The sequence below is a fragment of the Homo sapiens genome, chromosome X, assembly GCF_000001405.40.
Source record: "Homo sapiens chromosome X, GRCh38.p14 Primary Assembly".
NCBI classification, from domain to species: Eukaryota; Metazoa; Chordata; class Mammalia; order Primates; family Hominidae; genus Homo; species Homo sapiens.
In genome coordinates, this window is record NC_000023.11 from 29,893,687 (window position 1) to 29,918,091 (window position 24,405).

The 24,405-nt window shown below is 36.6% G+C and overlaps 1 protein-coding gene across 3 annotated transcripts in view; it reads left to right on the top strand.

Annotated features, from left to right (window-relative positions):
• IL1RAPL1 (interleukin 1 receptor accessory protein like 1) overlaps window positions 1-24,405 on the top strand; it is a 1,369,273-nt gene that overhangs the window by 1,306,241 nt on the left and 38,627 nt on the right. For all 3 annotated transcript variants that reach the window (NM_014271.4, XM_017029240.2, XM_017029241.2), the window contains one exon: window positions 23,778-23,910. In NM_014271.4, the coding sequence (NP_055086.1) occupies window positions 23,778-23,910 (133 nt within the window). The remainder of the gene's footprint in view (window positions 1-23,777; window positions 23,911-24,405) is intronic.

The window sequence follows — 24,405 nt, forward strand, 5'->3', positions numbered from 1 at the left end:
AGAAATATTACAATATTCGTAAAGAAGCCAGGGACATTGGTTTTGCAATATTGAGGTGACAAGTTTCCAAAAATTAATTCTATACTGATTTCAGATCCTATTTTCCATGAATAGACACAGCCAGAGGGATTCCCTTCTGTAATCCTCATCCGTATGCCTCTACCAACCAATTAATTGCTCATTACTGCATCAACATAAGTGTGAATTTGTTGACAGAGAGACATTTAAGAAAGAGGTTGTAAATATGTCCCAATGGTCCTACGTACTCTGGAATGTGGGGGAAACCATAATCACAGTTAATTCAATGTCAAATTTCTTATTCAAATATGTATTTCCAGTTACGGTGATAATTTTTCATTCATGCTCGATTGTGATGATTTTTGCTTTTATTTTATGTTATTCTCCATTACGGAACTTCATTTTGTTTTACACAAAATAGTTAATATAATACTTCGCAGTAAGGGCATTTTGAAAGAACAGTGGCTTAAAAACAAAATTTATCTTTGTGTTTCCTACGAGGTGGTAAGCCAGTTAGTATTCAACAAGTGTTTATAAAATTATTTCATTTTCTTAAAAGCCTATAATAAAGATATTAACTGGAGAAAGAACGTTGAAAATTCAGATGAGATGACCAGTGGTTTTAATACAGAAGAGACAGTTTTCATATTTTTAGCACATAGAAAAAATTGTAAAATGTGTTTGCTAAATTCCATCTGAACATTATCGTAAGAAAACCTCACAAATATTTTAATTTCTTAAGTAAAATAGCTTATTTCATTTATGCCCTTTACTACTTTATTTTCACTAGATAAATCATCAACGTTTTACTTACTTTTTCAAAAATCCCAGTAGAACAATCATGTTTGTTTTGACAAACTCTAGAAGGTTTTTATTTCTATTAATTTAAATAGACAAAAAGAAGACACTTGAAAGCAGCACGAAATCCCCAGCACCTTTTTACGAGATTATAACTTGTGTATAAAAGTAATTAACATTTTCTAGTATCATATTTTAACCAGATCAGAGATTCTTAACCCAGGATTCTTGGATCTACAAATTAATTTTAAATGGCCTTAAAATTGTACACACAAAAAATATTTTCATGGGGTGGGGAAGGGGGACAAGGGCTCTACCATTCATCTGTTCTTTTTTTTATTTTTGAGACGGAGTCTTGCTCTACCACCCAGGCTGGAGTGCAGTGGCATGATCTCAGCTCACTGCAACCTCTGCCTCCCAGGTTCAAGCAATTCTCCTGTCAGCCTCCTGAGTAGCTAGGACTACAGGCACCCACAATGCCCGGCTAATTTTTGTATTTTCAGTAGAGACGGGGTTTCACCATATTGGCCAGGCTGGTCTCGAACTCCTGACCTCAGGTGATCCACCCACCTCGGCCTCCCAAAGTGCTGGGATTACAGGAGTGAGCCACCGCGCCCGGCCCCATTCATCTGTTCTTTAAGAGCGTTTGTAACTAAAAAATTTTAAGTCAGATTTGGAGGAAGAAAATTAGAGGTTTTGGGGAGGATAAGTCTTGTTCACTGAAGAGTCCCTTTCACATAATTTAAATAAGAGCTATTGTGTATGAAGCTGGGCACAGTGGCTCATGCCTGTAATCCCAACACTTTGGGAGGCTGAGGCGGGTGGATCACTTTAGGTCAGGAGTTCAAGACCAGCCTGGCCAACATGGTGAAACCTCATCTATACTAAAAATACAAAAATTAGCCGGGGTGTGGTGGCACATGCCTGTAATCCCAGCTACTTGGGAGGCTGAGGCAGGAGAATTGCTTGGAGGTGGAGGTTGCAGTGAGCAAGATCGCACCACTGCACCACTGCACTGCAGCCTGGGCTACCGAGCGAGACTCCGTCTCAAAGAAAAAAAGCTATTGTATACGAATTGGGCTGCTATTATTTATTCTCAGTATTTAATAGTGAAGAAATGTCTTTTCTAATCATGCTTATTTATCCATTCACTTTCTGATAAGCATTTATTGAGTGCTTAATGAATGCTAGATATTGTTTACCAAGATAGGAACTCAGAAGGTTGAGCAATCTGGGGAGAAATATGACTAATCAAATTGCTGACACATTGAGTGTGAGATGCTTGTGGGATATCCAAATGGAGATGTCCATGGAGGGCAGAGGTCCAAGCCAAAGACTTAGATTTGAAGGTCAGTAAATATGGGTGGTAAAGTCATTAAAGTGTTTGATGTAGGTAAGCCCATTCTTGCATGTATAGTGTGAGTAGAGGATGAATGAGAGAAACAGCCAACATTCCCTAGGTGCGTGGAGGGAGTACCTTCCAGAGAGGCTGGAAAGTGGTTGTAAAAAAAGCCAGCAGAGAAAGACTTCCAAAATGAGGGAAGAGTAAGCTATACCAAGAATGTAGAAAGATCTAGTAAAATAAAGACATAACCATTCAAACTGGGAATCAATTTTAGTGGAAGGCTATCAGTGGACGTCAGACTGCAGTTAGTAGATGGGAAACGACTTTCAGTGTGCTGTATGTTTAAGGAAATGATTGATTGGGAGATAAAGTCAGAAAGGACCTCATTACTTAGCACCTGGTATGTGATATTTTATAAATACCAAGTTAATGGCTTTAACTGGGAAATAATAAAATCATTTTCCTCCTAATCCCAGAAGACAATCCACTGAGAGAATGGGATACTTAACCAGGGGAGAAGACAGTGATAACTTTGGCATAACGTGTATCATTCAGAGTTCAACCAGAGAAGTAGAGCAGTAGGGTATTATATATGTATCCTATTAGGTGTGTGCATGTGTGGAGTTTGTGTGTATACACATACATATAGATAGATACACATATATTTTACAGAGAATCGGTTTACACCATTATAGATCTGGCTAAGCAGTCTCCACAAAGCTGTCTCTTCATCTAATATCAGAGCCTGAAGTTCACAGGCAGGCAGTCAGGTGGGAAGATCACAAGCAGGCTTGAATTCCACTAGGATAGACTGAAACCTGTGTTTTTTGTTGTTAGTTGTTGTTGCCTCTGACCACGGCAGTAAGAATGAGCACACATACCTCTGGCCCAGAAATCAGACACTGAAGGAAGATCCAGGGGGGAAGAGAGCAATCCCAGGTCCAAATGATGCTTTATGTCAATGAGGCAAGTCAGCATACCAGCAGCAGTATGCATGTGTGCACACACATATGCATGCACATACACACATACTGCAAAATGGCAACTGCCTTCCTAACATCCTCCAACTAGTGTGAAAGAATTTATCGTGTAGCCTACCCTAACTGGACACATGCAAGAAAATGGAATTCTGGTAAATGTAGTTTGACCTAGCAAGTTGGCACATTACAGAGCCAATACAATGCGTACTTTCAGAGATGGCAAGCCTTAGAGGCTACTAGAGTAGGGGTTCTGGGTAATCATTGTGCTTCATGAAGGTCCTGTCACTTGGTAGATAAGTGAAGGAAGTTATGTAGAAATCTGAGGGTGGGACCATGAAGATCAGCTTGTTTATCCTCTCAGTTGTTCTAAGGGCATTGCTGCCATCCCTGTTAACAAGGGGATTAGGAAATAACTGATTCAATTTGCCTCTCTACTACTTCCACCATTCTTAATAATAAAAAGAAATGACCAGTTTCTATTTATTTTTTTTTCAGGCAATATTTTTATAAGATGAATGATCTTGATTATTACAGTGAAAATAAAATGATCTCTCAGAATGTTCTGAAAACAGTTGTACAAGTGGAAGTTACAGTGTTGGCTTAAAGAAGAGAACATAAATACTATTCACACTTCTTTAGCTGTACTAAAAGAGCTATAGAATGTAGCCTTATTTATTGTTATGTAAACCAGTAAAACTTATCCAGCAAGTGACAGGACCTTCATCCTGTACCAAATCCCTGTTTTTGGAGTAAGATGCCAATGGAAATAGTGGAGCTAGTTTAAAATCAAACATCAGTTCAACCAAACTGATTTAACATTTTCATTTGTGTTGGGGAAGCTCACGGTCTTTAAATATCGATGAGAAAGGTGTCTCTTCTAATACTTGCTTATGTGCTGTTAATGCTGTACTCCCAAAGATGATCGCTAATCTATAATCTAATCTATACAACTACACTTTTCAAAGGATGTTTAGAGTCACAGACCTGAACCTGACTTAGGGAAAGGTGTTTCTCCAAGAGCTTTTCTGTGACTACAGATTGTTGGAGAAAACAGGTAGTGAAGGAAGATGGCGCATGATCTGCTGCGCTACCATGAAGTAGAATATATGGTGATATTTTAAGGCTATATGTTTACTTTTGCCTAAATTATAAAAGCAATATTTTTATATTATAAAAATTTAAATGTTGGGAAATAAAGACTCATATAAAAAAGATAACAAAGAAGTAACTGAGATATGTCACAAGTTCTTTAAAGCTTCATCCGTGGAATCTTAAGAGGCTCTCTCCTACTTCAGATGAGAAAGTCAGGAAGCATATCGTTTGACTAAACAGTGATATAAAAAATACTAATTAAGTGACATTTCAGAATTGCAGTTTTGAAATGATTTGCTGTTCTGCTCACAAGAATCGTAGTTATGTTTACTAACTTTATTCATTTTGTCTTAATATTTGCTATAGCTGCCGTGGGCATGGCCACGGCAAATGTAAGCTATCAGACTGACCAGGTTGATCACATCAATGAGGAATATTTTCATTAATCCAAGATGGTGTTTGATTCAGAATGCGCATCGTATCAGCAACACTTGCCATCGACCATTAAATGTGAGGAATTCCAACAGTTAGTTAGCACCAAGGAGTTAACGATATGAAACATCATCCAGAACTGAACAAATGGCTTTACTCCTTCCTGTATCTTGGGCTGTGTGGAAGTTGTCAGGGTTTCCTGGAAAAGAGTTAGATATGCTTATATAGATTAAATATACTAAAGGGCATTCCCCGTAACAGTCAAGTAAGTGTTGGGTAAAAGGCAAGTTTATTCATGTAACTACAGATAGAATACGAATAGTGTGAATGATTCCGTAAGTATTTTAGGGAAAGTATTCATCTTTATGCAATGAAATATATAAAGTGGTCATTTTCCTAAAGACAAGAAGACAGTTATTTTAATTGACTTCCACAACTTCCCACTTAGAGAGTTGCTAGTATTAAAAAATAAATAAAATATCACTGCCATGAAGATTAAGAGTGATAGTCAGAAAATGGACTTCAGAAAATGATACACTTTCTTTAGGTAGGAAAGCAGTAAAGCTATTCTCAAGTGATAACCTTTTATTAGATGCTGGCAAGTCTGAAATGCTCCTTGACAATCTCTTTTATTGAACGAATCTTGAGGACTATAAACCTAGATCAGTGCCTTATAATCCTTGCATAAGGCTGTTGTGATTAAAAACCAAGTGAAAAACTTCCCAATAGCTCACAGAAGAGTAATCAGTCTGTCTTAGTATTTATTAGGGTGTGTGTGTGTGTGTGTGTTTTAATGGGATACTGCTTAAGTATACAGGCCAGGAGTAAAGGTAACACCATGAGGGAGGGTAAAGGCATGGAAAGTCAGATTGGGAACTCCAAAAAGAAAGAAAGAATTTTGAGGGTTGTCAGAGCTTCTCAAGAGATCACACGTTTAGAGACAATTCAAATACTTTTAAACAATAATAACAAAAAAATCTACTGAGCCTTTAGTTTCATGATCAGAATGGGGGATCAAAGTCAGAATACCAGGATTAGTTTCAAGTGATTTTAAAGACACCAATATTAGAATGGACTGAGACAGGAGATACAGGTTGCAAAGAGAAATAAATAACAAGTCTTCCTCAAGAATGAAAAGAACTCTGAGAGACGTAGCTTTGGTCATAGACTAGAAATGAGAATAACAGTGAATAATTTTTTTTTTTTTTTTGAGATGGAGTCTCACTCTGTCGCCCAGGCTGGAGTGCAGTGGCGCGATCTCGGCTCACTGCAGCCTCCCCCTCCTGGGTTCAAATGATTCTCCCACCTCAGCCTCCCGAGTTGCTGGGATTACAGGCGCCTGCCACCACGCCTGGCTAATTTTTGTATTTTTAGTAGAGACAGGGTTTCTCCATGTTGGCCAGGTTGGTCTCGAACTCCTGACCTCAAGTGATCCACCCACCTCAACCTCCCAAAGCGCTGGGATTACAGGCGTGAGCCACCACACCCGGCCAACAGTGAATTTTTTAAATACTGAAAATATCTATGAATGCTACCAAATTCTGAAACTCTTCCTGATTAACTCAGCACAGAAAATTCCCTCTCATTTTGAGCTTCAGTTGTTCAAACTGCTTCCATGGCAGTTCAAACTGCTATGTCTCCCTCTATCAAATGGGGACAACAAAGCCAGGCTTCATGGTATATTTTAGGCTCAGAAGCTGTCAGAAGCATTTTACTGAGCCAGTATGGAGAAGAGACAAGCAGAGCAAACTTCTGCCTGAAAAACAAGCAGTTAACACTGAGTACTTCTAATATAATGGCGACTAACAAAAATCCTTCTAGGCAGAAAAGGAGAAAACACAAAACAGTGAGTTCACTGTTACATCTTAAATAATAAACAACATGCATTAGCCATCATGATTTCCTGCACTTGCCACGTTATAAGCTTATAAAGCTTCCTAAAAATATTTCATTAGCTTTGAAAACTAATAAATCTAATGATTACAATTTATATTTTTAAAAACATAAGAAAAGCAGGTTTGTGCCTAAGACCTTGAGTGTCAAGAAAGTTTAGAGAGGATAACTCATTAAAGTGTACAGCGAATCATAAAATTCAATTTGAATTGAACCTTCCATTTTGGCCCAACCTATCCATGTAAAAACCAGCAAAACAAATCATTCTAAGTCACAAGCTGCTGTATGTGTTTTAGAACAGATACTATTTACTATATTACCCCTAAATAAACCAAGGTCTAAGTAAATGGTTTCTAGCTTTTCTCTAGTTAAGCTAAGTTCTTTCTTAAAAGGAAACTCGTTCTAATTCATATTTTTCTTCTCGAAGAGGGAGCTTATATTTTTCTGTTTCTGCACTTTGAACATGAGTATTGTGGGAAAGTATTAGGGGATTAGCAGGAGATAAACGTGGTTTTTGTCTTCACCACTAAGTGGATCAAATTAGTGGGTATATGGCCATGATTTTATTCTGCCACACTATGACCTGTGAGACAAGGTGGAAAAAGTAGATTCTAGAGGCACTGATGGATACAGGCTAAGCTGGGTAACAAGGATACCCCAAAATGTAATGTCTTTGATCAAATTGAAGTATATTATTTCTCTCGATAAATAAACCAATAGCTAGCAGCCCCAGACCAGTCAGGTGATTCCATTCAATTAAGTCATTCAGGGACTCAAGTCCCTTATATGTTGTTGCTCCCCATTTTTTTCCTCGTATTTCTGGTGGAAGCCAGTTCACTGATACATCTGCTTTCCAGTCTGCAGGAAAGGGAAAAATAAACTCCAGGGCATGCAGCTTTATCATAAAGGAAATGACCAGGAAATTGCACACATCACTTCTTCATACATCTCGTTGACCCGGTCTCAGGCACATGGCCACATGTAGCTGCAAGAGAAGCTAAGAAATGTGGTCTACAACTGGGTAGCCACGTGCTTACCTAAAATTCTAGGGACTATACTACTAAAAGGAAGAAAGGACTAATAGACACTGGGACACATTTAGTGGTCTCTGCCTCAAGAGGTATCAGCCAGGGTTTGGAGATGACGTATTCAGCACAAAAAAGATAAGGCAGTGTTTGGACAGGGTTACATGTAAGTTGTGATTCTCTTGAACAGACCCCTAGTGGTCACTGACATTTGAATAAACTGCTAGGGGTATTTCACTTTCACCACCACTAATATTCTTTACTTTCCTCCTCCTTTCATTTTTCTTTCCGTCTTGCTCCTCCTTTTCATATTCCAATTTTCCCCCCATATTTTTCCTTTTTGTTTCAACTGCTCATGATACTGAGGTCTAAAGAATTTACTGAGTAATGAGCACAGATGTATGCTTTCTTTATGCATTTTTAATGGCTGATTTAAATATACTTGGAGGCTAAAAATGCAATAATTTGCTTTAAATGTGTAGGACTCTGGAAAGATGAGAAAGCACTGTAAGAGTTAAATAAATCAAGAAAGGATTTGGAATAGTGACTATGTAATTAAAAGAGCAGAAATAAAGGATGTGCCTTATCAAGATGTAATCACAAATATTGGAGGATAAAAAGACCTCTGTATTAAAACCTAAAGATATCTGCATTACAAAAAATGTTCACTTTGTGGATGACTTGAAAAACTTTCGAAATGAGTACAATTATAAGCAGATCTGATGTTTTTGTCAGAAAGCAAATCACGAGGTACTTCTTCCATCCACTCAACTCAAGGGTAACAATGGCTGTACTTTCTGCCCTTCATCATCACCAGGAGTTTCTGAGTAGCCTTTTAGAGCAAATCAATTTCCTGGCAGGTGAGTAATTTCTACTGTATAGTCATCATTTTCCCGCATCATTTATCTAAGACCCATCTTCTCAACACTCAGGTGCAACATCACACCTTCCCAGGGGTGAGGTCATCAAGGGCATCTGGGTGTTAAATGTTTGATGTTAACAAGAGGGACACCCCCTCTTCTGGCTGGTGTCCACCGATTGTTCTAGACACCATGAACTTTTGTTTCATGCAGGTAGAAAACAGCCATCAAGAGCTAAAATTTGAGCCCTTACAAGAATCTTTTTACTACCCAGCACAATGTGGTAATAATATTCCCACTTCTCAGGCCCTTTTCCTTCAAGTGAATAAGATTTCCTCTCTATTCTAGAGGAGCCATGCTACTGCCTCTCTTCATTTGATTACTGTGGGAAATCCCCCAGCAGCTTATTCCAAGTTCACTGCGCAGCCCTCTGATTCCTGAAAGGCATAATTTGGCCTAACTTGATATATATACTATATATCATCACTTACAGTAATGTTTGTCCCATAATAGTAATACTACTACTAATAATAATAATAATTGCTAACAGTGAGTGAGCACTCACCATGGGTACTATAAATTTATATTAACTTAATTAACTCCAAGTTATTTGTTGTTACTTAAATTCTCTTATAATCTATTGATCAAACAATTGAGTTGCTTTGTTCCTAAAAGCTACAAAAATATATAGTAATGTAGTATAAAATCTATTTTCATAAAGAAATCTGACACTACAGCTGAATTATGGTTAGCAAATTTAAAATTCATACCTTGTTTTCCTCTTGTGATTTTGTCTCCTTGAAATTTGAGCAGATGTTGTTATATCTTTCAGCAATCACATCCTCAACTATGAGCTTAATATAACGTACCCCTTTCATTACTTTTCCTTTCTTTTAGAATTCTTAGATAAATCTCTGATTTCCAAAGAACTATCTGTGCTTTGATATTGGCAACTATTATCTGCTGTAGGTCCTAGTACTTATTTAGGTAAAAGATCTTAATGAAGTTCCAACGAACTTCATTTGTCTCCGTGTGTGTGTGTGTGTGTGTGTGTGAGAGAGAGAGAGAGAGAGAGACAAAGAAATTCTTCTCTTTTTTCATTTCTGAATAAAGCTTTCTAGAAGAGCCATTCAGTGTAACTAATGACAAAAGATAAATATGTTTTGTAAACCACTTTGCTTTTATCTTAAATGGGGAGTCTTCGGCAAAACATTTATCTTTACCATGACCGTAGAGTAATTTTAATATACATGATTAATGGTGCAAATGAAATTAAAATCCCCCTACTATTCAACATCTTAGTTAAGAACAAAATGCTCACTGTTTCCTAATTGCAAAGAGTAAAATGTCTGGATGTTGATGCTTTTTAATTAGAGGAGAATTTTCTTTTTAATTAAAAAAAGAGAGCTTTTTTATTTTTCAGTAAGTTAGAGAGTGTCCTCTAGTGGAGAGAGACTCTGATCTCATAGTTTTAGAAATGGCTATATGATACCCAGTTAGAACTGTGCTCCACTTAGCTGATTGGAATCTACTGGTTGAAGGGAAAAAGTATTGTTTTTCCTCTAAGACCCCTCAAATCATGGCCTAGTTAAAAGGCTGCAGTGTGACAAGCATTGTTCTCATTTTAGATAGGAATGATTTTTTATGATCAATTTTAGCATGCTTCCTTCTGAACCTGTTGAGGTTGAGCTGACTGTGCACCTTTCTGCCAAAAAGGAGGCAGAAGCATTTAGTGCAATTTACTGTGGCTTTTACAGGTATCAACTGGAGGCAGCAAGAATACCATTGTCTTCAGGACTGCAGACCTGGCTGACTGATATATTTGATGTGTGCAGATCCCTAGGCCATAGCTTAAATTTGTTTCTTTTATTATTTGAAGGAAAACAAAGAAACAAAATTGAGAGACAAATTAAATAAAGGTCTCTCTTCTCCTTAACTTGTCGAATTCTAATGCTAATTTCCTGTATTTCTGGTTAAATGTGCTAAGCAGTCTTAGCTCTATCACTTGTGTATCAGAGATGAGAGGTGGAGGAGTTTTTTCGATATCTAAATGGAAGAGGGTACGGAAGAGCTGTGGTGGTTGGCTCTCTGAATCACATACTAGAATTGCCTTATCAGAAATTGCTTATTACAGCAAATTAGAGACTGAAAGAAAAGAACGATAGTTGCTCTTGATAACAAGCTAAATAGCTTGGACTTAAATAAAGATAAAAATTTTATTGCTGATTCTTTTTTTAATTTTAATTTTTTAAGTTCTGGGATACATGTGCAGAATGTGCAGGTTTGTTACATAGGTATACATGTGCCATGGTGGTTTGCTGCACCCATCAACCCGTCATCTAGGTTTTAAGCCCCGCATGCATTAGGTATTTATCCTAATGCTCTCCCTCCCTTTGCCCCCAACCCCGACAGGCCCCAGTGTGTGATGTTCCCCTCCCTATTCCATGTGTTCTCATTTTTCAGCTCACACTTATCAGTGAGAACATGCAGTGTTTGGTTTTCTGTTCCTGTGTTAGTTTGCTGAGGATGATGGCTTCCAGCTTCATCCATGTCCCTGCAAAGGACATGATCTCATTCCTTTTTTATGGCTGCATAGTATTCCATGGTGTATCTGTGCCACATTTTCTTTTTCCAGTCTATCATTGATGGGCATTTGGGTTGCTTCCAAGTCTTTGCTATTGTAAATAGTGCTGCAATACACATACGTGTGCATGCATCTTTATAGTAGAATGATTTATAATCCTTTGGGTGTATACCCAGTAATGGGATTGCTGGGTCAAGCGGTATTTCTGGTTCTAGATCCTTGAGGAATCGCCACACTGTCTTCCACAATGGTTGAACTAATTTACACTCCCACCAACAGAGTGAAAGCATTCCTATTTCTCCACAGCCTAGCCAGCATCTATTGTTTCCTGACTACTTAATAATCGCCATTCTGAATGGTGTGAGATGGTATCTCATTGTGGTTTTGATTTGCATTTCTCTAATGATCAGTGATAATGAGCTTTTTTCATATGTTTGTTGACTGCATAAATGTCTTCTTTTGAGAAGTGTCTGTTCATATCCTTTGCCCACTTTTTGATGGGGTTTTTTTTTTCTTGTAAATTTGTTTAAGTTCCTTGTAGATTCTGGATATTAGACCTTTGTCAGATGGGTAGATTGAACTTTCTCCCATTCTGTAGGTTGCCTGTTCACTCTAATACTAGTTTCTTTTGTTGTGCAGAAGCTCTTTAGTTTAATTAGATCCCATTTGTCAATTTTGGCTTTTTTTGCAATTGCTTTGGTGTTTTAGTCATGAAGTCTTTGCCCATGCCTATGTCCTGAATGGTATTGCCTAGGTTTTCTTTTAGGGTTTTTATGGTTTTAGGTCTAACATTTAAGTCTTTCTTTAATCCGTCTTGAGTTGATTTTTGTATAAAGGTGTAAGGAAGGGGTCCAGATTCAGTTTTCTGCATATGGCTAGCCAGTTTTCCTAGCACCATTTATTGAACAGGGAATCCTTTCCCCATTGCTTGTTGCTGATTCTTATATTTGAAAAAAAGGGGGATAAGGAGAGTGTTCATAAAATCCTTCAGTAATCCAACAAATGTCAGAGCCATAATGAACAATAAGGCAAATATATTCCCTTTTATAGATAATTTTCAGAAACATGTATAGTCGTGACTCCCACACAGATGGAAGAATGAATACATGTTAAAAAATTTTTTGCTGATGTGATATGAGGGGACCAAGCAGATGTTATGACCAGTTCAAAGGAAATATCAAAGCAGCAGATTTACACAGATTAAAGAAATGTTGAGATGAATTGTAAATGGAGACAAAATTGTTTTTTTCCCCAGGTTATAGGGGGGATAGGAGAGGTGAGTCAATTAAATCACTATCAGACAGGAGAGAATTTGTACCCCTATCAGTGTCCTACATTTTACAGAGTCAAAATATAGTTCAAAGACAGTAAAAAAGCCTTTGGGAGGCCGAGGCAGGTGGATCACGAGGTCAGGAGATCGAGACCATCCTGGCTAACACGGTGAAACCCCATCTCTACTAAAATACAAACAATCAGCCGGGCGTCGTGGCGGGCTCCTGTAGTCCCAGCTACTCGGGAGGCTGAGACAGGAGAATGGCGTGAACCCGGGAGGCGGAGCTTGCAGTGAGCCCAGATCGCGCCACTGCACTCCAGCCTGGGTGATAGAGCGAGACTCTGTCTCAAAAAAACAAACAAACAACAAAAAAAAAAACATAAAAAAGCAGGAATCCAATAATCTGGAAGGGTGTGCCATAGACCAATGAGTAGTTTTCCAATGAAAGATATTTCTTTCTACATAACTTTGTAAATATATATATATATATATATATATATATATATATATATATATATATATATATATATATATATTTCTGTAGCCTGGTTGGGTTGCCAGTGACCCAGTTTTATATCCTACTTTCTTGTCTACACCAGCTACTTCTCTACCTACAACTGCCATTATTGTGAACCCTCTTTCTCTTTCCTCTTCTCCAGCCTCCCTGTCCTTGCTTCCTGCTTACAGGACCTGCCCTAATATTTTTCAATTTTGTTGCTTTTCTGAGCCCCAGTTCCACTTTAAACAAATTCCAAGGTAAAAACAAATTGTTCTGGACAGTTAACTGTAATCACTTGCATGAAAAAATCACCTGAGGGTGCTTGTTAAAAATTCAAATCCCTGGAACTCTCCAGACTTGACTTGCTGAATCTAAATCTGGTGGGGGGTGGAGGTAAATTTTTTGACAATAAATTTGGAACTCACTGACTTAAGTAAAATAAGAAAAAAATGTAACATCTAAGCCATATGACTCTAAGCTAAATGACATTGTAGAATATATGGGAGTATAAAATAAAAACTGATATGAAAGTTAGTGGAAATATGCAAGAAAAAGCAAAGTTAATGGTAGCATTAGTAATTGCTAGTAATAACTTTCCCTAAAGTTCCTATCACAATCTATCTAGCACTAATTATTTTCAAGTTGAATATCTGGAATGTCAATCTATTAATTTTTTAATGTCCATTCTAGATGCTATGCTAAGTGAGTTTTAAAATTATTTTTCCTTTTTAATTGAAAGCATACCCAGACACACATTAAATAAACACAAAAAATAAAAATTCATAATCATTCTGTTTTTTCTTTGTATCACTTTCCATTCTACTGAATTTTACTAATTATAAATTTAAATCTTTTAATCTTGCACTTTTTTGTTATTTCTAGACTTCAATTTTAAGAAATTATTTTTCCTCCACATATTTATAAAATATATACTTTCTCCTATATAGTATATTTATTTCATAGTAATATTTAACTCTAATAAATCCCACATTTATTTTTCTATATTATATGAAACTAATTTTTGTTTTTAGAAAATAATGCAATTCTGATAACTCATTGCCTGGAGTTAAATCTGGTACCATATCTGAGCACTACAATTGATTTCAAAGAGTTGTACCACTGCCTGCGGGATAAACATGATGTTGTTTTTTTATAATTGTTTTAAAATACATTTTGCTCTTTGTTTAGACCAACAACGTAATGTCCAGATCTATCATCATTACACTTCTTTAGGATAGTTGTTGACAATATCTACCTACTTAAATTTCTAAATAAATATAGATTTTGTTGAGTTCTACATCTTATTGGACTTTTATTAGCATTAGCATTACATCTAAAATGTAACTTGGGAATGGATTTGTTTAATTGTTTATTGCTAGTATAAATAGGATCTCTTCTATTTTCTAATTAGTAACTGTAGAAATCATGGATGATAATGATTTCTAAATATCATAGACCATAACTAACTACAGAGTTTCTTCTTAAGGCTGGCAAAACTATGATAAAAATCAGTGTCTCTTAGAGAATAAGATTAAAAAAATTTAAATCACATTAACTATAGCTAAACTGTAAGTACATTAAATTTATTGCTACAAATCATGTAGTTTAAAAAAAACCCCTCAAATTTGCCAGATTTACAAACTTACCCCACTATGGAAAACTGGCTTTCTTCTGAATTGCCTTCATCAATTATTTATTGCTGCAGGGTTGCAATAGGCTGAGGTAGATGCTCTTATGGAGTATCTAATATTTCATATTAGGCAGATAGTGTTTCATTTTTAAATTTCAAGCCTTGTGCCTGTAATCACAGCTACTCAGGAGAGGGGAAGACCGCTTGAGCCCAGGAGTTCAAGACCAGGCTGGGTAACATAGCAAGACCCCATTTCAAAAATATATATATATATATATATAAGCAAACTTTTTTAATAATTTTAGAATCTATGCTCTTAAGACCCACATTCTCTCTTGGTTTTATTTTGCATATTCTCTTTTGAGTTTCTTAAGGGTATTTTTGTCTGGACCTAAAGTTCTATCCAAATATATTGAAAAAAATGGGTAGCCCCTCCTTTGAGAATTACCACATAGACTCCATTTGATCTATAGGATAGTGAGTCTTATTTTTACGTGATTATATTTTGTTTAAAATAACTCAAACTATAGAGAATTTTATATTTTGGAATACCAATACAAAAGAATGTTATATCAAAAGGACAAATTTTTAAATTTTGCTAGTAAGTGATTACAATATATGTCTTAGATTTGAATATTTAAAATAACTTTTTAAAAAGTCAAAATATAGGGCTTTTTAATTGGTTAAGTATGCAATCAGGTTATCTTCAAACAATGTTTTTATTGAAATTGGTTCAATATATGAAGCCTTTATTTGGCAATTTTCATCTTTATGCACTTTCCAAATGTTAGCTAGTTAATCTGCTTAACAATATTCCATTAAACAGTTGTACACATTTTATGTTCATACACTCCTATAAACTTTAACAATAATAATAATAATGATGCTTTTATCAGCTTTTTAAAACATCTCATTGCTTTGTTATATCCTATTGTATTAGTAAAACTTCTAAAACATTATCATATTAAAAGAATGCTGGCCAGGTGCAGTGGCTCATGCCTGTAATCCCAGCACTTTGGGAGGCCAAGGTGGGAGGATTACTTAAGCCCAGAAGTTTGAGACTAGCCTGGGCAACATAGGGAGACCCTGTCTCTATTTAAAAATAAAATAAAAAATTAGCTAGGCACACCAACCTGGGTGACAAAGCTAGACCCTGTCTCAAAAAATTAGCCAGGCATGGTTACACATGCCTATAGTTCCAGCTACCCAGGAGGATGAGGTGAGAGGATTGCTTGAGCTCGGGAGGTTGAAGCTGCAGTGAACCGTGATTGTTTCACTGCACTCCAGCCTGAGCAACAGAGTGAGACCCTATCTCAAAACAAACAAACAAACAAAAAACTGAAAAGAATGCTAGTAGGCACATTTCTATATACCAACAACATCCAAGCTGAGTGCCAAATCAAGAATGCAATCCCATTCACAATAGCCACAAAAAATAAAATAAAATGCCTAGAAATACAGCTAGCCAGGAGGGTGAAATATCTCTACAATAAAAATTACAAAACACTGCTGAAAGAAATCAGTGATGACACAAACAAATGGAAAAACATTCCACACTCATAGATAAAAATAATCAATATTGTTAAAATGGCCATACTGCCCAAAACAGTTTAAAGTTTCAGTGCTATGATTAAAAAGTCAAAACATAACAGATGCTGGCAAGGTTGTGAAGAAAAGGGAACGCTTATATACTGCTGGTGGGAATGTAAATTAGTTCAGCCACTGTGGAAAGCAGTTTGATTTCTCAAAGAACTTAGAGCTACCATTGGACCCAGCATCCCATTTTTGGGTATATACCCAAAGGAATATAAATTTGTTTTTACCATAAAGACACATGCATGCGTACGTTCATTGCAGCACTATTCACAATAGCAGACATGGAATCAACCTAGATGCACATCAATGGTAGACTAGATAAAGAAAACATGGTTTATATACACCATGGAATACTATGCAGCCATCAAAAAGAATGATATCATGTCCTTTGCAGCAACATGGATGGAGCGAGAGACCATTATTGTAAATGAAGGGAAAGAAAACCAAATACCACATGTTCTCACTTATAAGTGGAAGCTAAACATTGAGTACACAATACAGGTATACTTGAGGGTGGAGGGTAGAGGGTGAGAGGAGGCTGAGAACGGAAAAACTACCTACCAGATACCATGCTTATAACCTGGGTGATGAAATAATCTGTACACCAAACCCCTGTGACATATAATTTACCTATATAACAAACCTGCACATGTACCCCTGAAAGTAAAAATTTAAAAAAAAAAATAATGCTTGTAGGCATATTTCTATTGAATTTAAAGGAGATGATACTGTGAGTCCCATTGTATATTCTTGTTTAACATATGTTTACTTTTAAATATTTGGAATGGAATATTTTCAGTATTTCTTAATAAAGCAAGCCTACAATAATTTATTTAGTTCCTAAAACTTGCCAAGTAAAAATATAGTCTGATTTTATAATCATACATTTTATAAATCATTTTATAAATTCATTATAGTGTTTATAACACAAAAGTAGGTAAATAAAAAGCATTTTAGATATGATGTTGACAATTGCATGCTACGATCCAATGAGAAGCCTTTTTATCTTGATGTTTTCATAATTTTGAACAGTACTGGTGATTAGCAAAATAGCTATATTTAATAATAAAATTTTGGTTTAATATGAATGTTAGGGACCACAAAGAGATCCTACTTCACTCTCACTAGGATGGCTATAATCAAAGCGACAGATGCTAAGAAGTGTTGACAAGCCTGTGGAGAAACTGGAACCCTCATACATTGCTGGCAGGAATGTAAAATGGCACAGCCACTTTGAAAACCAATTTGTTATTTCTTCAAATATTTAAACATAAGATTCTCTTATGGCCTAGCAACATCACTCCTAGGTATGTACCCAAGAAAAATGAAAACATAATGTCCACACAAAAACTTAGCAGCAGTATTCACAATAGCCAAAAAGTGGAAACAACCCAAATGTTCATCAGCTGATGAATGGATAAACAAAATCAACATATGGGATATATTCACACAATGGGATATTACTGATACATGCTATATAACATGAATAAACCTTGAAAACATTAAACTAAGCAAAAGAAACCAGACATAAAAGGCAATAATATTGTATGACTACATTTATACCAGATGTCCATAGAGACAGAAAGTAGAAGTAGATTCGTAGTTGCTAGGGGCTAAAATGGGGAGTGGCTGCCACTTGGTACAGGGTTCCTTTTTGGGGTGATAAAAGTGTCCTAAAATTGATTGTGGTTCTGATTGTACAATTCTGTGCATATACAGAAAACCATGGAATTGTACAAATTCATGCTATGTGAATTGTATCTCAGTAAAGCTATTAAAATATGCATACTATGTATGTAAAAAATAATTTTATAGACAGTAGCATCTGGTAAATGTTTAACACTTGGCTCTAAATGTAGTTCTGCCAAGAATACAGTTCATATTTTTGTTTACATTAGCTAATAAAACAATGGAGGTGCATATCAGAACTTTACTCACTCATCAGTGATGTAAATGAGTTCTTTGCGGAATCATATTTTAGTAGGAGAATATTTTCTTGATGTTTGTGCTATTCCCAATATGGCAGCTATAGACACGACATACTTTTAATTTAACCTGCATTATTAACATTTTCCCTGTCACATTTTAAGTACAGTCAGTCAACAAAACAATAAATCATAGCCTGATTTGTAGCATTTGCCAATGTATGGAGTAAATACTCCCCCTATCGTCTTTTTCAAGCTACCAACATAATGTCATTAAACATATAGTTGAGAAGAGATGTGCAGTAGTACACTATTGTATAGTATTTCCACCATACGGATACTATAGCTGTAAACAATCTCAAAAGATGAGTGAATGAATGGTAAAATGTAGCAAAATAATTTGGAAGTTTTGAGTATCTATTATTTTTGTTTTTAATTTTTTTTGTATTTCTATAATTTAATTTTCAATGACTGTGCTTAACAGCCTGCTCACAGAATTTCTGAAAATGTGGTAACTGACTTTTGCAAGCTGGTGTGGAATAATACCACTGAAATAATACCTGAATGAGGAGGCTCTGTACTTACTTACAATGTGAAGCCTAGTTTACACGATAAATTTGGGCTGTGGAGACATGTAGACATGTAGCCTTTAATTAATGAAGCTTTAAAAAAAGGGAAACAAGGTAAAATGAAAGTTCAAAGGATATTAAGCAGGTTATTCATTAATTTGAGATTATGTATTGAGTTCTTAATATATTCAAGATGCTGTAATGGGTCCTGGTAATACGAAGGTAAATAAAGATATAATTTCTGCCTTTGGGGAATGCATAGTCAAGTTGCTGGGCTAGATATGTGAGCAAAGCAGATACTGAAAGGACTATATTATGATAAAACAGAAATATGTTCCAAAGTCTATGGAGAAAGGAGAAGAGAAGGAGGAAGAAAAATTAAATGAGTATTTTTTGAAAGCGCAGGCCTGCATTTTGGAAGAAGTTTCATTTGAATTGGATTTAATGGATGAAGCGTGTATTAGGTGAAAATGAGAATTTAAAGCAAAGAATATAGGCTTAAATAAAATCAAGAGACTATAAAATGGAATATGAATGGGTGACTCCCAAAATTCAGATGCTAAAAACCTGTTGTGTAATTGGCATATCCTAGTTCATTGGCCAAAGGTACAAACACAGTCCCATCATTTATTACTTTCATAACTACTATTTATCCTTTTTAATCCTTATTTGCCCTTATTTGGTGGACATACATCACTTATTCCTAAGCTCCACCCTGCTCCATGAATTTCTATCAAGTCCTGGTTCTTATTGAGATTCAGAGGAAAGGATAATAGTCCTTCATTCCCACTTTCAAACACAAGGTAATACAGTTGGGTTCCAACGTCACAGCTCTCTGACACAGGTGTGATTAATTACTTTTTCCCAATAAATAGTACCTGGTGAATCCAGCTTTTCTCCACAACACTAAGGCCCCTGGTTAGAGACTCAGGTGTGAGCTTGACCTCACCTGGCCTGCTCTCAGAATTGACTCCATTGGACTCCTAGTGTCTAGGCTGTGAGCAGAGCAATGCATAAGAAGTGAAGTGGTAACTTTGCTTAGCCGCACAAATTTGTACAATTAAGAGAAACCACTGAAAAGCCTCTTCACAGAACAAAGCACTGCTCAAATTGACTTTCTGTTCTGCCTATATTGAGAAGCAACTGGCAGTTCCCAGATCTCTTTCTCTGTGTGGGTGACACAGTGATACACACACACACATATATACACATATATGTATACATATATAAACACACATATATATACATATATATAGAGAGAAAAATATATATATTTTCTGCCTTAACAGGATTCCTACTTAATGTCTGGTTTAAGAGGTTCCCTATTATCACATTGATAAAAAGCAGAGTGTTCTGTAATTACTGCTACCACCTATGCTTTATCACTTTAAGAAATTATGTGGAAATAATCTGATCTTTGCAGTGCTTATTCCTTATGTGATCCCAGAGTATTGTAACATTCTCAATCCTTGATTCTGTCTGATCCAATCTCAGGTTTGAAAATACAGTAAGATTGTTCTCTTTAGAATAGAGATGTGATTGCGTCAGTCTCCTATTTGAAATCTTCCCTCAACTTCCCATTGCCCTGAAATGGAAGTCTCACATTTTCCACATGCCATACATAGAACAGCGCTGCTCCTGCTCTTGCGTCATCAGGGTCCATTCGTCTCCTAATCTTCCCTCTACTTGCCCCTCGTCTACACTTTAGCTTCAGCCCCTTCAAAACTATTTTATTTTCCCCAAAGCTCCCAGGCTTTTTCTCACTCATGCTCTTTCCTCTCTGTCCAGAGTGTTTTTCTATTCTTCTCTCCACCGTCTTCTATTCCTTCCTTGAATTTCACTGTCTTACCCACAGCAAGCCCATCTCAAGACTGGTTAGAGTTCTCCTAGGTGTCCCCATAGCACTGTAGATACACTCAGTACTGGAGCCCCAGGCAGGGTGGGGTAGTCAAAGAACAGGTGAGCCAAGATGGCTGAGAAAGCAGATTGCTTCTTACATGGGTGCAGGAGCCATTTTTTAGGTGTGGCAGCACAAGGCCTGCAGGTAAAAGAAAAGAAATGAATTATAAAATTATGAAAAATAAAAGTGAATAAAAATGAATTTCACAGTTGATGTCGGAAAGAAAGGAGGGTGATGTGAGACAGTAATTCAGGTTCCAATGAGGAGGTCAATCGGCCTCTCTGCTAAGGAATGTCAGATTCCTTATTTATGATTTTTAAGGTCCCATATTTACTAAAATTGTAATGGAAAATTAGGCAACACCTGGAGATTTCTATTTATGAGTTCCAGGCATTAAGTCCCACCTAAAAACTTAAACTTGGTCTTATAAAAGACAGTATAAATTATTAATATATACATTTTTAAAACTGTAATACATCTTGATTCCATTGGCATATAATGTTAATCATCATACTAGGTAGTATTTTGAGACTTATTATTGAATTCGTGACTACCTTGGCACTATAACAGATAGTCCTGGTACAAAAAAAAACAAAAACAAAAACAAAAACAGTGCTCTTATAAAAATGTAAACACAAAGAATATTTGATTTGAAACTGTTTTGTAATGTTGGTTGACACTTGCCGTAGAAATCTGCAATTGATTTCCAATCAATGGAATTGACATTTATTCATTTTGTAATGTAAATATTCTCTAAAGGAGAGGGAATTTTATACTAAAATATTTCTGTACAAAGATTAATAATAAAGAAACCTCCTTGGAGCCTCAGTTTGCCTCTTAAAAGTTTGTAGATATTTTCTGGACTTGCCTTATCTGGTCATCAGTGATGACTATCACATAAAAAATCCGGCTGGACGTGGTGGCTCACGCCTGTAATCCTAGCACTTTGGGAGGCCAAGGCGGGCAGATCACGAGGTCAGTAGTTCAAGACCGGCCTGGCCAACATGGTGAAACCCCGTCTCTACTAAAAACACAAAAATAAATTAGTCGGGCGTGGTGGCACGTGCCTGTAATCCCAGCTACTCCAGAGGCTGAGCAGGAGAATTGCTTAAACCCGGGAGGCAGAGGCTGCAGTGAGCCAAGATCGCATCCCTGCATCTTAGCCTGGGCGACAGAGGAAGACTCTGTCTCTGGGTTTAGGGGCGGGGGAGGAATCCAAGTCTGTGAGGAATCTCTTGGAGAACATGCAGACATAAGCTAAAATAGAGAAGGCTATATCATGCCATATTAGAAATATTAGAAGAGCAATAATTTTCATGAATTATTCTTAAACAACGAACATAAGAGAATACGATTTTATCCTATAAAAATGTTGTCATTGTGGAACTTGTAGAATTAAGTTACAGATACTCATGCCCTAGTTTAGAAAGATTACATGTAAGTGCATTCTGCTTTTCTCTGTGTTTATGCTGTAGAATCTCTCATAAGCAAAATTTCAAGAAATACGTACTATCAACTCATAGCTTAGCCCTGAGGCTTCCAGTACTTAAGAAACCTCCTTCCTTGCTCCTTAGGATCGCAGAGTTCTCAGGGCCCTCTGGTAATATTCTTTTTTTTTTTTTTTTTTTGCATTTAATTTTTATTTTTATTATTTTTATTATACTTTAAGTTTTAGGGTACATGTGCACATTGTGCAGGTTAGTTACATATGTATACATGTGCCATGCTGGTGCGCTGCACCCACTAACTCGTCATCTAGCATTAGGTATATCTCCCAATGCTATCCCTCCCCCCTCCCCCCACCCCACCACAGTCCCCAGAGTGTGATATTCCCCTTCCTGTGTCCATGTGATCTCATTGTTCAATTCCCACGTATGAGTGAGAATATGTGGTGTTTGGTTTTTTGTTCTTGCGATAGTTTACTGAGAATGATGGTTTCCAGTTTCATCCATGTCCCTACAAAGGACATGAACTCATCATTTTTTATGGCTGCATAGTATTCCATGGTGTATATGTGCCACATTTTCTTAATCCAGTCTATCATTGTTGGACATTTGGGTTGGTTCCAAGTCTTTGCTATTGTGAATAATGCCGCAATAAACATACGTGTGCATGTGTCTTTATAGCAGCATGATTTATAGTCATTTGGGTATATACCCAGTAATGGGATAGCTGGGTCAAATGGTATTTCTAGTTCTAGATCCCTGAGGAATCGCCACACTGACTTCCACAAAGGAAACAACAGGTGCTGGAGAGGATGTGGAGAAATAGGAACACTTTTACACTGTTGGTGGGACTGGTAATATTCTTAAGTATCTATGGCTACCACAAATTGAGAGTTTGCTTACTTCAAATGCCAGCAAAGGTGTTGCTTTTTCATTTTCAGCCCCTCACGTGGTGCCCATCCCTGAGAGTTCCTTTGCCCCAATCCAGACTTACAAGACCCCATCTTATCCCTCAATTTCTGGTTCCATTTAGCGGTAGCAAGATCTTAAAACTAGTATCTACTGGAATATGTCAGTTCTGTAATGCTGACTGAAGCTTGAGTAAACCAGGTGCTTGTAAAGTGGCATGAAATATCCAGAAATAAACTTTACTTTCTACGGGCATTAAATTTACTTCCACCTTTTAGAAAGAGACTTCAATTTACCTTATTAAATAACTGACCAATCTGTATTCACCACTAAAACATTCTAAGTAGCGTATTGAAATAAGCTAATCTTTACAGTAGTATAACTGATTTTATCTGTGATGAAAATCCCAAATATTTATTGTCACGATTTTTGTTTTTTAATGTGTTTTTCTACCTATGTGTTAGCTTCTTTAATTCGAATGTTATTCTCTATGAATTAAAAATATTTTAATAGCATTCTCTTAGGATCTTGCGTTTATGGTTCCTTTTTCTTTGCAGCCAAAGATTTTCTATCTCCCACATTCGAGACTGAGAAACACCTTCTATCTGCCCTATAAAATCTTATAATCAGCAACGTTATGTACCCTTTGATATCATGCTTCGAGAAGGGCATATCACCTCTGTGGTATCCTTCGCAATCATTCATGACCTCAATCTAATCATGAGAAAACATCAGGCAAACCGAACGGGAAAAATGTTCTGTACAATAGCCGACCAGTCCTCTTGGAAATTTTACAAGTAACTCACATTCCATTAAACAAGCCATGTTGTCGAAAGCACACATTCTATCAATTTGACAAAGATTGAAAATCCCTGAAAAATTATTCTTTTAGAAAGATATTTTATTAAATCAATGAAAAGTGATCAAAATGTTACCTGTCAGTTTGCCTAAAATAAGTGTGAACAAATAGTTTTATAACACTTTTCCATCACTTCTCTCTGCAGGTGACTCTGCTAATCTAACCTGCAGAGCTTTCTTTGGGTACAGCGGAGATGTCAGTCCTTTAATTTACTGGATGAAAGGAGAAAAATTTATTGAAGATCTGGATGAAAATCGAGTTTGGGAAAGTGACATTAGGTAATTTTTTTTCCTTTTAACCTGTATAGTCAAGATTAACATTTACTCCATTAGTGAATAGAAAGTAAGCTGAAAGGATTTTTTTTTGTTTTACTAGTATCATAATAAAAATACTACAATATTTAATGATAAAGAAGCAAAACACTGTTAACAGACTTACTATGGAATTGCAAAACATGAATGCCATTTGCAAAGAATTTAAGAAAAATAACGAAGATTGTTCATTAAGCCACATACTGAGTGCGGCTGGGGGTGGTGGCTCTCGCCTGTAATCCCAGCACTTTGGGAGGTCAGATTGGGCGGATTGCTTGAGGCCAAGAGTTTGAGACTAGCTTGGCCAACATGGAGAAACGTTGTCTCTACTAAAAATACAAAAATTAGCCAGGCATGGTGGTGCGTGCCTATTGTCCGGGCTACTCGGGAGGCTGAGGCATGAGAATCACTTGAACCTGGGAGGCAGAGGCTGCAGTGAGCCAAGATTCTGCCACTGCACTC